Source organism: Homo sapiens, chromosome 16 (assembly GCF_000001405.40).
Source record: "Homo sapiens chromosome 16, GRCh38.p14 Primary Assembly".
NCBI classification, from domain to species: domain Eukaryota; kingdom Metazoa; phylum Chordata; class Mammalia; order Primates; family Hominidae; genus Homo; species Homo sapiens.
The window spans coordinates 15,642,888-15,658,924 of record NC_000016.10 but is presented as its reverse complement, the minus strand read 5'-3'; the positions used below and the strand labels follow the sequence as shown (position 1 = coordinate 15,658,924).

Below are 16,037 nucleotides of genomic sequence, written 5' to 3'. Positions count from 1 at the left end.
AACACTTTGGGAAGCTGAGGCAGGCAGATGACTTGAGGTCAAGAGTTCAAGACAAGCTTGGCCAACATGGTAAAATCCTGTCTACACTAAAAGCACAAAAATTAGCTGGGTGTGGTGGCAGGCACCTATGATCCCAACTACTCGGGAGGCTAAGGCATGAGAATCGCTTGAACCCGGGAGCCAGAGGTTGCAGTGAACCACGATCACACCACTGCACTCCAGCCTGGGCAACAGAGCAAGACTCCATTTCAAAAACATATAAACAAAAAATAAATAAATGTCATATAAAGCTAATGATTTGTAGTTTTGCTTGTTTTTTCCAGACATGCATTCATTTTTCCATCTTCTGTGACAGCACAATATTCCCTTGGGAGAATACCCTACTCATTTCATGAGTTCAGAGGGATCTGACATCATCCTCCACACCTGGGAAGAGGCATATGCCTATTCACGACCTTAGTGATCAGCTCATGGGTGGGCCTAACCCACGATGAGCCAGTGACAGAGGTGGGCCTAATTCACGCAGAGCCAATGATAGGGTGAGCCTAACCCCCATGCTCAGCCAGTGACAGTCACGGATCTAACCCATGCTGAGCCAATGATTGGCTTAAGGATGGGCCTAACCCATACTAAGCCAGTGAGGGCCCAGGTCCAGACCTTTTGCATAGCTGTCAAAAATGAAACTCTCTTTCCACTAGGGTTGGTAAGGTAAGCCTGAAGCTGGAGGTAAGCCTGAAGCCGGAGGTAAGCCTGAAACTGCCGGTGGTCATCTTGCTATCACAAGGGAGAGCCTGCCTCAGAGTGAAGCCAAAACAGAGGAAAGCTGGGCCAAGGGATGGAGAGCCTGGGTCCTGACAATATCATTTGAACACCTAGATGCAGCCACACCTGATTTAAGGTTATGAGATAATCAATTCCTTGTCTTGGTTATACCAGTTGGGGTTAGATTTCTGCCACGCAGGAATCTTAATGAATGTATGGAATCAACGACCTTACTTGCTCAAAGTCAAAAGGGTAGAGTGGTGCCTGGCGCAATGGCTCATGCCTGTAATCCCAGCCCTTTGTGAGGCCGAGGCAGACAGATCACTTGAGGTCAGGAGTTTGAGACCAGCCTGGGCAACATGGTGAAACCCCGTGTCTACTAAAAAAACAAAAACAAAAATCAAACGGGCACGGCGGTGCGTGCCTGTAGTCCCAGCTACTCAGAAGGATGAAGCAGGAAAAATCACTTAAGCCTGAGAAGCGGAGGCTGCAGTGAGCCAAGATCACTGCATTCCAGCCTCCCAGCCTGGGCGACAGAACAAGACCCCATCTCAAAAAAATAAAAAGGGGGTAGAGTGTTAATAGCAGTCATTAACAAGGCCAGGAGCAGCATAAACCTAGGCCAAGGAGTCCCTGCTCAAGCCATAAGCTCTAATGAGCCCAGATCTCATGTAATATGTACTCATCAAACCAATTCTATAGCAACAATAGCCCAGGGCCAAGGCATCTATCAATGAGCACTGTGTGGCCATTAAGATATTGGTGGCTGGGTGCGTTGGCTCATGCCTGTAATCCCAACACTTTGGGAAGCCAAGGCGGGTGGTTCACCTGAGGTCAGGAGTTCAAGACCAGCCTGGCCAACATGGTGAAACTCCATTTCCACTAAAAATACAAGAAATTAGCCAGGTGTGGTGGCAGGCTCCTGTAACCCCAGCTACTCGGAAGACTGAGGCAGGAAAATCGCTTGAACCCAGGAGGCGGAGGTTGCAGTGAGCCAAGATCACGCCATTGCACTCCAACCTGGACGACAAGAGTGAAACTCTGCCTCAAAAAAAAAAAACAAAAAAAGACATTGGTGATACTATTGAGGGCAGTCTCAGTCCCATGGTATGGAAGGTTGTCAGCATACAATAAAGTGCGGAAGTGAGGAACCAGTAACAACAAAAGCAGAATGACTCCTCCTGAGGTTTGGAAAAAGATGTGCAAGATCCAATGTGATCAGGCCCCTGCATAGTTTTCTACACATTTCTTACCCTACCACCTCTCATTCACTTATGTCCCAGCCACACTGCCTTCTTTCTCTTCCTTGAACACCCAAGCCTGGCAGGGTGCTGTGGCTCATGCCTGTAATCCTGATACTTTGGGAGGCCACAGCGGGTAGATCACTTGAAGCCAGGAGTTCGAGACCAGCCTGGCCAACATGGTAAAACCCCATCTCTGCTAAAAATACAAAAATTAGCTGGGCATGGTGGCACATGCCTGTAATCCCATCTACTCAGGAGGCTGAAACAGAAGAAACTCTTGAACCCGGGAGGTGGAGGTTCCAGTGAGCAGAGATCCTGCCACTGCACTCCAGCCTGGGTGACAGAGCAAGACTCCATCTCAAAAAAAGAAAAGAGTAATAATAATAATAATAATAATAAAAGAAAAGAGCCTCTTAAAACACTGTTATCTTGGCCAGGAAGGTTTAAAAACTTAATCCTCAGGAAAGAAATGAATCTGAGATGCTTTAGGAGGTGCGTCTATTGTGGGGCAGGTTCTAATTACAACGGGCCAATGGGAGGGATCTGGTTTTGGATTTCAAGGACTGAGGAGAAAATAAGCAGAGAACTGGATTTGTATCACAGCCTGCAAAATCTTTCACTCCAACCAAGAGACAAAAACCACAGGAACAGCATTTCAACCAAAAACTCTTACATTTTAAAAGCAATCCTTAGGGAAGAGAGATGCTGGAAGCAAAGAAGGAAGAAGTAACAGCTGCACTTCACTTTATCATAAAACAGCAATCTTTTTTTTTCTTTTTCTTTATTATTATTATACTTTAAGTTTTAGGGTACATGTGCACAATGTGCAGGTTAGTTACATATGTATACATGTGCCATGCTGGTGTGCTGCACCCACTAACTCGTCATCTAGCATTAGGTATATCTCCCAATGCTATCCCTCCCCCCTCCCCCCACCCCACAACAGTCCCCAGAGTGTGATGTTCCCCTTCCTGTGTCCATGTGTTCTCGTTGTTCAATTCCCACCTATGAGTGAGAATATGCGGTGTTTGGTTTTTTGTTCTTGCAATAGTTTACTGAGAATGATGATTTCCAATTTCATCCATGTCCCTACAAAGGACATGAACTCATCATTTTTTATGGCTGCATAGTATTCCATGGTGTATATGTGCCACGTTTTCTTAATCCAGTCTATCATTGCTGGACATTTGGGTTGGTTCCAAGTCTTTGCTATTGTGAATAATGCCGCAATAAACATACGTGTGCATGTGTCTTTATAGAAGCATGATTTATAGTCCTTTGGGTATATACCCAGTAATGCGATGGCTGGGTCAAATGGTATTTCCAGTTCTAGATCCCTGAGGAATCACCACACTGACTTCTACAATGGTTGAACTAGTTTACAGTCCCACCAACAGTGTAAAAGTGTTCCTATTTCTCCACATCCTTAAAAGTATAAGATTTTTGCCTTTGCCATTCAAAAATGTCAGAGAGAGGCCGGGCACGATGGCTCACGCCTGTAATCCCAGCACTTTGGCAGACTGAGGTGGGCAGATTGCTTGAGCCCAGGAGTTTGAGACCAGCACAAGGTGAACCCCGTCTCTACTAAAAATACACAAATCAGCAGGGCGTCACGATGCACGCCTGTAGTCCCAGCACTTTGGGAGGCTGAGGTGGGTGGATTGCTTGAGCCCAGGGGTTCAAGACCAGCCTGGGCAACATGGTGAAACCCTGTCTCTACTAGAAACACAAAAATTAGCCAGGTGTGGTAGAGCGCACCTATAATTCCAGCTACTTGGGTGGCTGAGGCCCAAGAATTGCTTGAACCCAGAGGCAGAGGTTGCAGTGAGCAGAAATTGTACCACTGCACTCCAGCCTGGGCACAAGAGCAAGACTCTGTCTCAAAAAATAAATAAATAAACAACATGAAAACGTCAGAAAGTTCTATTGCAGTACTCTCTGTGGCAGAAAGCAGGCAACATGACTTGCAAGGGTTCTCTTATTTTATCAGCATTAAGTACTGAATTTGACCTTCTGTTTGCTGTGTGCTAGACATTTCAAAAATTGTTTGCAAACATTATCTTCTTTAAGCTGTGTGACTGTAAGAGATGGCTAAACAGGACAACCACTCTGTTTCTTGGAAGCAGAAACACCGTATGCCTTGGCCATCTCTAAATGTGCATGTGAGCAGCAGAGGCAAACTAGATCCAAGTTCAAGGGATCTTTGCATTCAAGTCCAAGGCTTCCCAGGGGTTGCAAACTGACTGACTGCAGATCAGATTCACTTGTTTCATTTGGTCCAGTTTTGTTTTTTTTTTTTTTGTTTTTTTTTTTTTTGAGTCGGAATCTCTTTCTCTGTTGCCCAGGCTGGAGTGCAGTGGTGTGATCTCAGCTCACTGCAACCTCTGCCTCGCAGCTTCAAGCGATTCTCCTACCTCAGCGTCCCTAGTACCTCGGATTACAGGTGCATGCCACCACGACTGGCTAATTTTTTGTATTTTTAGGAGAGACGGGGTTTCGCCACGTTGGCCAGGCTGGTCTCGATCTCCTGACCTCAGGTGATCTGCCCACCTAGGCCTCCCAAAGTGCTGGGATTACAGGTGTGAGCCATTGCACCCGGCCCTCACATAGTGTTTTAAAAGGCACTGTAATAGGCAAGTGTTAATGCCTGGTCTCAGTATATACAACTTTGCACCTGCTATCTTAAAAATGCACCCCACATGCATTTATTTCATCTGTGTGCCACTAACCTGCGTTCTTAATACGCCACCACACCATCATGCCCCAGCAGCTCTGTAGACAAATCTGATGGGATCATGCAAGGAACAATGACAAACTAGGACCCAGTGGTACAAAAAGTATCTATTTTGCACAACAGAGATCTATGCCTCCTTCAAAAATTTGTTTCCGGCCGGGTGTGGTGGCTCATGCCTGTAATCCCAGCACTTTGGGAGGGTGAGGCAGGCAGATCACCTGAGGTCAGCAGATAAGAGACCAGCCTGGGCAACATGGTGAAACCCCATCTCTACCAAAAACACAAAAAAATTAGCCAGGTGTGGTGATGCACACCTGTGGTCCCAGCTACTCAGGAGGCTGAGGTGGGAGGATCACTTGAGCATGGGAGGCGGTGGTTGCAGTGAGCCGAGATCGCCCCACAGCACTCCAGCCTGTGTGACAGAGCGAGAACCCGTCTCAAAAAAAAAAAATTGTTTCCACATGCTTTTTTTTTTTTTGCATGTTTTACATGATTAAAGCTAACAAAAAAGTCTGAAAATACACTCGAGACACACACCTCTGATTTTAAAACTCTGGAAAAAAGCAAAGCAATCTCTTTCAGCTTTCCTCTGAGAGAAGAAACCCAGCACTGCTAGTCAGGAGCAATAAACATACAGAAACCATCGATAATTACTCAACACCCTTCTCCATCCCCACTCCATATCCTTCCCAATCAAAACAAACAGAAGAGCAGGAGGGAAGAGAAAGAAGCTGCCAAATGTCCACACATGCTCCGACAGCCAGGACGCAGGCTTTGCATTTTGCAGGAGTGACATCACTGGGGCAACATCAGTCAAGAGTCAGCAAGCCTGGCTTCTGTCTTTGTGCTTTCCAAGTTTACAATGATCAACCTACAAAAATACTTAGGCAGGCAAGGACCCATGTTCAAAGATGCACACCATCATTCACGAATGTGGAAAACTGGAAACCTCAATGTCAACAGAGGACTGAATGGAAAACGATGCAGTTGTTAAGAACTGTAAGTACTAATATGGAAGAAAGCTCAGGATATGTTAAAAATGGGTGCCCATTTTTGTTTATTTCCCTCTCTCTGTACACAGAATAGAAAAGGGTCTGGAGGATGCACCAGAATGGGGGTAAAGCAAGCCCTGTGGATTTGTACCTGACACCTTGCTTTAAGGTAAACTACATACACATATATACAGTAAGCATAGATCGCTTTAGAGATTTTAAAAAGCTTAGGCCAGGCGCGGTGGCTCTCTCCCACCCCGGCACGTTGGGAGGCTGAGGCGGAAGGATCGCTTGAACCCAGGAGTTCGAGACCAGCCTGGGCAACATAGTGAGACCCCAATCTCTACAAAAAATTTTAAAAATTAGCCAAGCATGGTGGCATGTGCTTTTAGTCCCAGCTACTTGGGAGGCTCAGGCAAGAGGATTGCTTGAGCCTGAGAGGTCGAGACTGCAGTGAGCTGTGATTGCATCACTGTGTTCCAGCTTGGGCGACAGAGTGAGATCCCGTCTCAAAAAACAAACAAACAAAAACTTGGACAAAAAGTAAAATAGCTATTGTTCCAGGATAATTTTATTCTACTGAACCAAGTGACAGGGAAAGAATTTTTCCTACTGTGGTTTTGCCTCCTCCAACCCTTTTCAAACATTTCTTGAATACCTACTAAGTGCTGGGCACTGCTGAAGGAGGCAGACAAAAAGCACCCACATCCATTGCACGAGGTGCACGTGTAGTACTAACTGCAGGCACAAACTTTCTGTACACAGGAATGCTCATGTTAGGAAATTACCTTGTGAGGAAAAGGAGTGTCAATTCTCGGCTCACATTCTAAGGCAAAAGAACACACTTTGGGCTGCATGCAGTGGCTCATGCCTGCAAGTAATCTCAGCACTGTGGGAGGCCAAGGCAGGAGGACTGCTTGAGCCCAGGAATTTGAGACCAGCCTGGGCAACAAAGCAAGATTCTGCCTCTACATAAAAAATAATAATAATGATAGAGTCGGGTGCAGTGGCTCATGCCTGTAATCCCAACACTTTGGGAGGCTGAGGTGGGCAGATCACGAGGTCAGAAGTTTGAGACCAGCCTGGCCAATATGGTGAAACCCCATCTCTACTAAGAATTAGCCGGGCATGGTGGCACGCACCTGTAATCCCAGCTACTCAGGAGGGTGAGGCAGAAGAATCACTTGAACCCGGAGGACTGAGGTTGCAGTGAGTCGAGATCATGCCACTGCACTCCAGCCTGGACAAGAACAAGACTCCGTCTCAAAATAAATAAATAAATAAATAATAAATAACACACTTTGGAAACAAAAATAAGTCAAGTTAATAAACTGTTATCCAACATGGGATAAAATATATGAATCACAGGCCCCTGAGACTTCAGCGGCACAGATCATCTGCATTTAATCCTACACAAAACACACACTAAGAGGAAAGGCTCAAAATGGGTTGTAGGCCGGCACGGTGGCTCACGCCTGTAATCCCAGCACTTTGGGAGGCCGAGGGGGCAGATCACGAGGTCAGGAAATCGAGACCATCCTGGCTAACACGGTGAAACCCCATCTCTACTAAAAATACAAAAAATTAGCCAGGCGTGGTGGCACGCACCTGTAGTCCCAGCTACTCCGGAGGCTGAGGCAGGAGAATCGCTTGAACCCGGGAAGCGGAGGTTGCAGTGAGCCAAAATCGCACCACTGCACTCCAACCTGGGCGAGAGTGAGACTCTGTCTCAAAAACAAAAACAAAAAAAAAAAAAAAAAAACGGGTTGTATACCAACGAGGTGATGGAGGCTGGGGTGGTCGGGTAACAAGAGGCTTTAGGAGTAGCTGGGATCTAATTAATCTTCAAAACACCCGACCCATGTCCTAAAATGCCATCCTATGCTAGAATACACTATAACAAAACTAAAAATGATGAACCTGCCTAGGTCGTGCTGCAAAGGCCTTTTCTTTAGAAAGTTAAAAGGGGCCTGAGGCTCAAAGTAGAAATTAAGAGGCACAACCTGGTAGTAACCACGGACAAAGCAATCAAGGAAGCTCAGGCCCTCAGGAGGCAGAAAGCCTGAGATGGCTCGGAGAAGATAAAGTCGCCTCCCCAAAAGCGGTGTCAAGGTGACAGCGGGGTTTCCCAGGACCTCAGAGACTCAGGTCCTCAGTGAGCCCAGCCATCACTCAAGCTGCGGAATAAGCATTTTCGTCCTTTACCCAATCCCTCCCCAAAGTGCTGTCAGAAGAAACCTGAACCGTCCTGCGGCAGAGACGGGAGCAAAGCGGAGAGCAGACTGCCCCAAACGTGTTCCCGGAGGGAGGGAGCAGGGTGGGTTTTTGGAAAGAGGCCTGCAGGGGCGGGACAGTGGGTGTGAGGGCAGGGGCAACGCTGCAATCGAGGGGTCTGGGGTCGCAGAGAAGCGGGTGGCAGGATGGAGGAATAGGAGAGAGAGAGAAAAGAAACGAGGGTCATCTAGGAGAGGAGTATGGGGAGGAAGGAAGAGGAGAAAGAGGATGGAGCCTGGCAGCGGGGTTTGGGGACCGGCAAGGCTTAACCACCCAGGAAGTCCCGGAAGGAGAAGAGGGCAACGGGGTGGGAGAGAGACCAACGCAGAAAGAGAAACAAAGTTGCCAAGGGCGAGGGGCCAGCGCGAGGAACGCACCGGTGGCAAGGCACTCAGTGCCTAACTTTTTAGGACGGGAGGCTCCAGGGAGGCGGGATTTTGGAGCCCAGGGACCGGGGGAGTCCAGGCGGCCGGGAAGCGACGCGCAAGCGAGGGGCGTAGGGGTCCCTGCCAGGCGGTGGCCCGGGGTCCCGGGATCCTGGGGCGGGGCAGAGGAGCTTTTCAGCCGCGGTGGAGGTCCCCGGACAGCCACCCCGACCCCAGCCCCGCGCAGCGCCTCACTTACCCGAGCAGGGGCGGCGAGGCCAACGCGGCGGCGGCGGCAGAGGCGGCTGCGAAGGGCGGTGCGGCCCCGGCCCTCCGGACCCCGCCCCCGCCCCGGAGCCTGCGGTCGGCGCCTCCCATTGGCTGCTGCTCTACGGTACCGCGTCCGCCTCGGCCAATCAGCGCAGAGCAGCGTCGTTTGGAAACTTTTTTCCCAGGCCGGGCGCGGCGCGGCCAAGCGGCGAAGGCTCCTGGCCGGAGGGGGTTTGAGAGGCGCCGGCTGCCGGGCGCTGGGCTGCGGCGGGCTGGCGGGCATTGGAGATGCTGCAGAACGCTGCCTGGACACCCGGGAAACGGGTTTGGGCTTGCGGGCCGCGCATTTCAGGAAAATACGCCGGCCTCTCCTTCACTTCGATTGCATTTTCCCATTCTTGCACTTTCTCCAAATCAGAAGGAAAGACAAAGATTCAGGCCCACTGAAGCTAGCAGTGCCCCGTGCCCTTCCTACTCCTTTACACCAAAAGTAGAATCTTCAGCATCATTATCTTCTCCAGAAGCAGGAGAACGTAGTGCACCAGAATTTGGTCATAAACTTGGCTTTGAGTCCTAGTCCTGCCCCTTACTAACTGTGTGGTCTTGGGAAAGTTGTTTAGCCTCTATGACTCCGTTTCCCCATCTATAAAACGCCATTATGGGTCTGGCGCGGTGGTCACGCCTGTAATCCCAGCACTTTGGGAGGCCAAGGCGGGTGGATCACGAGGTCAGGAGTTCAAGACCAGCCTGGCACATGGTGAAACCCCGTCTCTACTAAAGATACAAAAAATTAGCCGGATGTGGTGGCACGCACCTGTAATCCCAGCTACTCAGGAGGCTGAGGCAGGAGAATCACGGGAAACCGGGAGGTGGCGGTTGCAGTGAGCCGAGATCACACCACTGCACTCTAGCCTAGGCGACAGGGCAAGACTCCGTCTTAAAGAACAGACAAACAAACAAACGACATTATGCAGAGGACTAAATGACTTAACAGCATTTGTAAAAACGTTTAGAACAGAAATTTGAACTTAGTAAGTACAATATATGTATTTGTTAAATGATCTTGATTTTGTTTATTTATTTATTTTGAGATGAAATCTCCCTCTGTCTCCCAGGCTGGAATGCAGTGGCGTGATCTCCACTCACTGCAACCTCTGCCTTCTGAGTTCAAGCAATTCTCCTGCTTCAGCCTCCCGAGTAGCTGGGATCACAGGCCCGCATCACCACACCCGGCTAATTTTTATATTTTTAGTAGAGACGGGGTTTCACCATGTTGGCCAGGCTGCTCTCGAATCCCTGTCCTCAGGTGATCCACCCACCTCGGCCTCCCAAAGTCCTGGGATTACAGGCGTGAGCCACCACACACTGCCTGAAGATCGTGATTTTTAAATGGCTGTGTGTGCCAGGCACAATTCTCACAGCAACCCTAATTGTTCACTAACAAATTAAAATTAAAAAATAATTTTTTTCTTTTCGAGACAGAGTTTCCCTCTTGTTGCCCAGGCTGGCGTGCAATGGTGCGATCTCGGCTCACTGCAACCTCTGCCTCCCAGATTCAAGCGATTTTCTTGTCTTAGTCTCCCTAGTAGCTGGGATTACAGGCGCCCACCATTACGCCCAGCTAATTTTTTGTATTTTTAGTAGAGACACGGTTTCACTGTGTTGGCCAGGCTGGTCTCGAACTCCTGACCTCAAGCAATACACCTCAGTCTCCCAAAGTGCTGGGATTACAGGCGTGAGCCATGTAACTCAGAAGGCAGAGGTTGCGGTGAGTGGAGATCACGCCACTGCATTCCAGCCTGGGAGACAGAGGGAGACTTCATCTCAAAATAAATAAATAAATAAAATCAAGCCACCATGCTTGGCTGGAATTTCTTTTTTTCTTTATTTTCTTCTAAAACATCCTGTCATAACATGTTCATTAACAAATACCGAACATTCTGGTTAGTGGGTACAAAAATAGAGTTAGAATGAATAAGATCTAGTATTTGGGAGCACAGCAGGGTGACTACAGTCCACAACAATGTATTGTACATTTTAAAATAACTAAAGGAGTATAATTGGAGTGCTTGTAACACAAAGAAAGGATAAATGCTTGAGGTCATGGACACCCATTTACCCTGATGTGATTATGATGCATTGCATGCCTGTTATCAAAATATCTCATGTACCCCATAAATATAAACACCTACAGTGTACCCATAAAAACTAAAAATATATATATTATTATCCAGCTTTTTTTTTTTTTTGTGAGACAGAGTCTCACCCTGTGACATAGGCTGGAGTGCAGTGGCATAATCAAAGCTCACTGCATCCTGGACCTCCCAGGCTCAAGTGATCCTCCCACCTCATCCTCCGGAGTAGCTAGGACCACAGGTGTGCACCAACACGCCCAGCTAATTTTTACATTTTTTTGTAGAGACGTGGATCTCACTATGTTGCCCAGGCTGGTCTTGAACTCCTGGGCTCAAGTGATCCTCCTGCCTCAGCCTCCCTCCCAAAGTGCTGGGATTATAGGCATGAACCACAGCACCCGGCATTATGAGCATTCTTCTGTACAATGCACCCTTACAGCACAGTGAATACAGTCAGACAAAGTACCTGTCCTCAAAGGGCTTATATTGTTAAGAGAGAAACATACTAAATCTATAAGCAGAAAAAGTAACGTCATTTCAGATACTGATAAGTGCTATGACTAAGGCAAGCCCATTTGATACAACGGGCTGGGAGGGGTCACTTCAGATGCTATAGTCAGGGAAGGCCACTGTAGAGAGGAGACCATGCAACTGAACCACAGGTGATGAACCACAGGAAAGCATTAAATTGTATCCATGTTAAAGATAAGAAAATAAAGGTGCAGGAAGTTAATTGAGTTGTCCGAGGTCTTACAACTAGTAATTAACAAATCAGGCTTCAGAGCTGGCTCTGACTCCTAAACCCTCCTTCTTCAGCACTATGCTAGAGGCAAAGAGATCTTAGCTATTACAGGATCTCCCACCCCATCTTGCCTTCCTGCTATCCTACAACAGCCTTTCTCAAATTCTACTTTGAACTCCTTGCTAATTCCTAAAAACTGCTTAGAGGCACAAAGGGGAACCCCACCACCTATCAACAGGTTTAAGGAAAGTACCAAATGTCTTTCAGGAAACTTCCCAAACATTAATGAATCATTTACATGCTGCTTCACACTTTACTACGTCTGATGCCTTCCCCCTTGGAATTTTATTTTATTTCGAGACAGAGTTTCACTCTGTTGCCCAGGCTAGAGTGCAGTGCTGCAATCTCGGCTCACTGCAACCTCCACCTCCCGGGTTCAAGCGATTCTCCTGCCTCAGCCTTTCGACTAGCTGGGATTACAGGTGTTCACCACCATGCCCACCTAATTTTTCTATTTTAGTAGAGGCAGGGTTTCACCATGTTGGCCAGGCTGGTTTTGAACTCCTGACCTCAAGTGCTCCACCCGCCTCAGCCTCCAAAAGTGCTGGGATTACAGGCATGAGCCACCACACCAAGCCTCCCCTTAGGAATTTTATTACTTATTTACTTATTCATTAAGATGGAATCTCACTCTGTCGCCCAGGCTAGAGTGCAGTGGTGCGATCTCGGCTCATTGTAACCTCCACCTTCCAGTTCAAGCGATTCTCCTGCCTCAGCCTACCAAGTAGCTGGTATTAACCCCCCTTGGATTTTTTTTTTCTTTTTTTTGACGGAGTCTCGTTCTGTTGCCCAGGCTGGAGTGCAGTGGCACGATCTCGGCTCACCGCAACCTCTTCCTCCTGGGTTCAAGCGATTCTCCTGCCTCAGATTCCTGAGTAGCTGGGATTTCAGGTGTGCACCACCACGTCCAGCTAATTTTGTAGTTTTAGTAGACACAGGGTTTCACCATGTTGGTTTGGCCAGGCTGGTCTCGAACTCCTGACCTCAAGTGATCCACCTGCCTCGGCCTCCCAAAGTGCTGGGATTACAGGCGTGAGCCACTGCGCCTGGCCCCCCTCGGAATTTTATTTGGCCCTAACCACTCTGTGACGTTTCTGGACAGGAACTAATCACCTCAGCTTACAGAGAAACCGAAGCACAAACTGATGAGGTACTGGTGTTGCCTAAATGGCTTTGATCAAGGTATTTAAACTAGTTGGTTCTCAATTTCCCAAATTTTCCATAAAGAAAAAAGAGAGGGCATTGAAATAATAATCCTTAAAGTCCTATTTGGGAACAACATTTAGGGAAATAGGTTTGTCATTGGGTAAAACCTTAAAAACATTTAAAATGTTTTTCTTGTTCTTTTTAAATTCAATTTGTTTTCCTTGTAGCTTTGGACTATGGCTGAGCAGATAACTCAATTTAACTTCCTTAGGTCCTTCCATGATCATTTATTAATTCAAACCACTGAACCTAATACAGGTAGAAGATTGGTTTCTGGGGAGAAACTCCTTTAATAACAGCTTGGTTAGTTGAAAAGCTGAATTGCATGTAAAGTAGCTACTTAAATAGCACACAAAAAAGTCTTTCGGTTTTCATACATGTGAAGACTATAATTTGGACAAGGGAAAAACTGAAAGTTACTTGTACTCTCTAAAGTTTTCCCAGCAAAGAAACAGGAATACAATTAATAGAGGATACATACTTAAAATATATCTTAAGAGAAAATTTATGTATTTTGATTCATAATTGTCTCCTAAGGCCTGGTATACTTTGCTTAGGCTCCTAGTCTTTAGAAAGCAGCAATAAAATTACATTTCTTTTAAAAGTATTTGTAATTCAGACTTTTATTAGCCTTCCACTTAATACGACTGTTTTGTTTTTAAAAATTTTTTTAATAGAGACAAGTGTCACACCATGTTGCTCAGGCTGGTTTTAAACACCAAGCCTCAAGGGGTCCTCCTGTCTCAGCCTCCCAAAGTGCTGGGATTACGACATGAGTCACCATGCCCCGCCCATTTTCAATCACTACATTTACTTGTTGTGACTAGTTACAGCTTTGGACTTGAAAGAATGCCAAGCTAAGTCAAACAAAATGTGTCTGCTTGGTAAAAAGGAATCTAAAAGAAAAATATACATATAAAGAAAATGTGGTCAAGCTCGTTGGCTCAGCCCTGTAATCCTAAAGAGGCCGAGGCGGGAGGATCACTTGAGGCTAGGAGTTCGAGACCAGCCTGGCCAACATGGCAATATCCCGTCTCTACTAAAAACACAAAAATTAGCCAGGCATGGTGGTGGGCGCCTGTAATCCTAGCTACTCAGGAGGCTGAGGCATGAGAATCGGTTGAACCCGGGAGGTGGAGGCTGCAGTGAGCCAAGATCCTGCCACTGCACTCCAGCCTGGGCAATGAAGCAAGACTTTGTCTCAAAAAAAAAAAAAAAAAAAGTAAAAAGGAAATGTGTCTGCATTCTTTGATGTTTTCTGGCTAAAAACTATTTTTTAAAAAAAGCAATTAGAAACCTACAATTACCTTGTTTCTTAAGATTTTTAGTTAATATGGCTTGTGTTGAAACATACTCAACTGAAATAAAATGGGGAAAAAACACCTCTGAAGAGTAGCGTATTTGTTTGGTACTTTGAAAAAAGCCAAAACGCTAGAAACGGGTTTTTCATCTATTCTAATCTCCACTTGGAAAATACTACCTATACACAGACATAATGAAGATTTTTTTCTTTTTCTTTCTTTTCTAAATAGTGATAGGGTTTCACCGTTTCCCAGTCTAGTCTCAAATTTGTAGGCTCAAGAGATCCTCCCTCCGTAGCCTCTCAAAGTATTGGGAATACAGGCCTGAGCCACTGCGCCCAGCCCACAGTCAAGATTTAGTCAGCAGTAATAAATACCTACGCAGGGAGAGGATGTGTGCTTGTCATCTGCCTTCTGGAAAATTAAATACAGGCACAAAGGATTCTTCAGCTACATGTCTGATCCTGCCCTCCACAATACCCGTCTACAGGGATGTTTACAGGGATGTGTTAATCCCCACGTAATGGGGATTGCCTATTGAAATAACCTCCCAGTAAGGATTTTTTTGGGCAAAATATTCTCGTTTGGCAATTTCGACTTACTGATTCTTTTGCAAAGTCAACTTGTTTCTGGGCAAACTTTAAAAATAAACTCCTAAGGTAGCATTTAGCTAGCAGCTAGCACATCCTAAATCGTGTCTAGATTTAACTTACACAATATGTGCTTTGCTTTTTTCCTAATTTGCAACAGAAAATAGTAATCAGCTGGTAGTTTCAGAAATCACCCTTTTGCTGAGTCTTAAATTTTTTTTTATTCCAGGGAAACGTGAAGATTGTGGGGCGCTATTTTTTTTTTTAAAGCAAACCACACAGCATATCTGGCCACCTAAAACACAAAGTGTTTGAAACTAACCGTAAGATTTCCTTTCTGCTCGCCCAACCTGTCACTGGAAACGCAGTATTCATTTGTAACCAGCTTTGGAGCAGGGCTTTTAAAAATAACGTTTTCTTGCTAAAGTCCCCAAAAATCTCTTGATTCTTGGTGGCAATGTCCAGTTGAGTCTTTGCACACACTGTATTTTTGCCAACTGGGTCGCAACTTTGCGAGAACTCCGGGGGACCTCGTAGGAAGCCAGGTTGGCAGTTATTTTTTTCTCCACTTGCCACTAGGTTGCACTAGATTTAGGATGCTGGGGAATATGCGCCATTTAATTTTTAAAAATAAAGTAGGACCATCACGTGACGAGACCCGAGAGAGGAAAAAAAAAAAGCCGAAGGGACAGGGTTTTTCATTGAAATCCCGTTCAAATCGCCTTCCCTCCAAAGCCTGAAAGAGCTGAATTCTATTAAATCCTGGTTGGCAGGTTTTTTCCTCGGGTCCACGTCACGAGCTCATTCTCCGCTTCAAGGTTCCTTTCGACTCCACAACGTGAAGCCAGGGGGAAGGCCTCCTTAAACTGGGGGTTTTCGCCAAAAAAGCCAGGGTCACCCCCCGGGAAAGTCCCTATTTAGGGGTTTATCGGGAGGGGACTGAGCCTGACGAGGCTGCAGGGCCGCGAGGCCCCGCCCCCCCCGGGGTTCCCAGCATGCCCCGCGCGGACAGGACGCGGCGGCGGAGGCGGGGCGAGGAAGGGGCGGGGCGAAGAGGAGAGAAGGGCGTCGGTTTTGCGACAGGGGCGGTGCGGTGCGGAAGCGGAAGTGAAGGGTGCGCTTGGCGGCGGCGGCGGGAGCTGCGGAGTCGGGAATCAAAACAAAGGGCCTGGGGGGGGCGGGGGGAAGGCGGCGGGGCCGGAATGTGAGCGGAGGTGGAGCCGGCGGCAGAGGTGAGTTTGCAGACAGTCCTGCGACCAGACCCCGGCAGGCTCTGCTCCGAGGCCAGCGGGGCGGGACGGAGGACAGTGTCCCCTCTTTCCCCGCCTATTGCTGGTGGGATGGTGGTGGAGAGGGGAGGTT

General features: G+C 47.2%; 2 protein-coding genes and 1 non-coding gene across 46 annotated transcripts in view, besides 3 other annotated features; 1 reads left to right on the top strand and 2 right to left on the bottom strand.

The window, feature by feature from the left end:
- Positions 1-15,543, bottom strand: part of NDE1 (nudE neurodevelopment protein 1) — an 82,972-nt gene extending 67,429 nt beyond the window's left edge. For 12 of the 22 annotated variants that reach the window (NM_017668.3, XM_017023353.3, XM_017023349.3 and 9 more), the window contains exon 1: positions 8,631-8,680. Coding sequence is in view for 7 of the 22 variants with exons in the window: in XM_047434261.1 (XP_047290217.1) it covers positions 14,998-15,050 (53 nt within the window). In the remaining 15 variants the exon portion in view is untranslated. Of the gene's footprint in view, positions 1-6,874; positions 6,910-8,630; positions 8,681-9,455; positions 9,578-14,997 lie in introns of those variants that run through there. The other 10 variants (XM_047434261.1, XM_047434259.1, XM_047434264.1 and 7 more) reach the window with 4 other exon arrangements.
- Positions 5,319-5,613: a silencer, noted in NCBI's record as "tiled region #7034; K562 Repressive non-DNase unmatched - State 14:Gen5'". NCBI's record gives its function as "represses a minimal TATA promoter and a strong SV40 promoter by Sharpr-MPRA in K562 cells {active_cell/tissue: K562}" and the evidence as "EXISTENCE:reporter gene assay evidence [ECO:0000049][PMID:27701403]".
- Positions 7,978-8,477: an enhancer, noted in NCBI's record as "H3K27ac hESC enhancer chr16:15744305-15744804 (GRCh37/hg19 assembly coordinates)". NCBI's record gives its function as "activates a minimal SCP1, AML or CMV promoter by ChIP-STARR-seq in primed H9 embryonic stem cells {active_cell/tissue: H9 hESC(primed)}" and the evidence as "EXISTENCE:reporter gene assay evidence [ECO:0000049][PMID:30033119]".
- Positions 8,478-8,979: an enhancer, noted in NCBI's record as "H3K27ac hESC enhancer chr16:15743803-15744304 (GRCh37/hg19 assembly coordinates)". NCBI's record gives its function as "activates a minimal SCP1, AML or CMV promoter by ChIP-STARR-seq in primed H9 embryonic stem cells {active_cell/tissue: H9 hESC(primed)}" and the evidence as "EXISTENCE:reporter gene assay evidence [ECO:0000049][PMID:30033119]".
- Positions 15,553-15,631, bottom strand: MIR484 (microRNA 484). The gene has a single exon (NR_030159.1). It is a non-coding gene; the product is annotated as a microRNA 484 (primary transcript).
- MARF1 (meiosis regulator and mRNA stability factor 1) overlaps positions 15,771-16,037 on the top strand; it is a 48,768-nt gene continuing 48,501 nt past the window's right edge. For all 23 annotated transcript variants that reach the window (XM_047434955.1, XM_047434954.1, XM_047434950.1 and 20 more), the window contains exon 1: positions 15,771-15,907. The gene's annotated coding sequence lies outside the window, so the exon portion shown is untranslated. The remainder of the gene's footprint in view (positions 15,908-16,037) is intronic.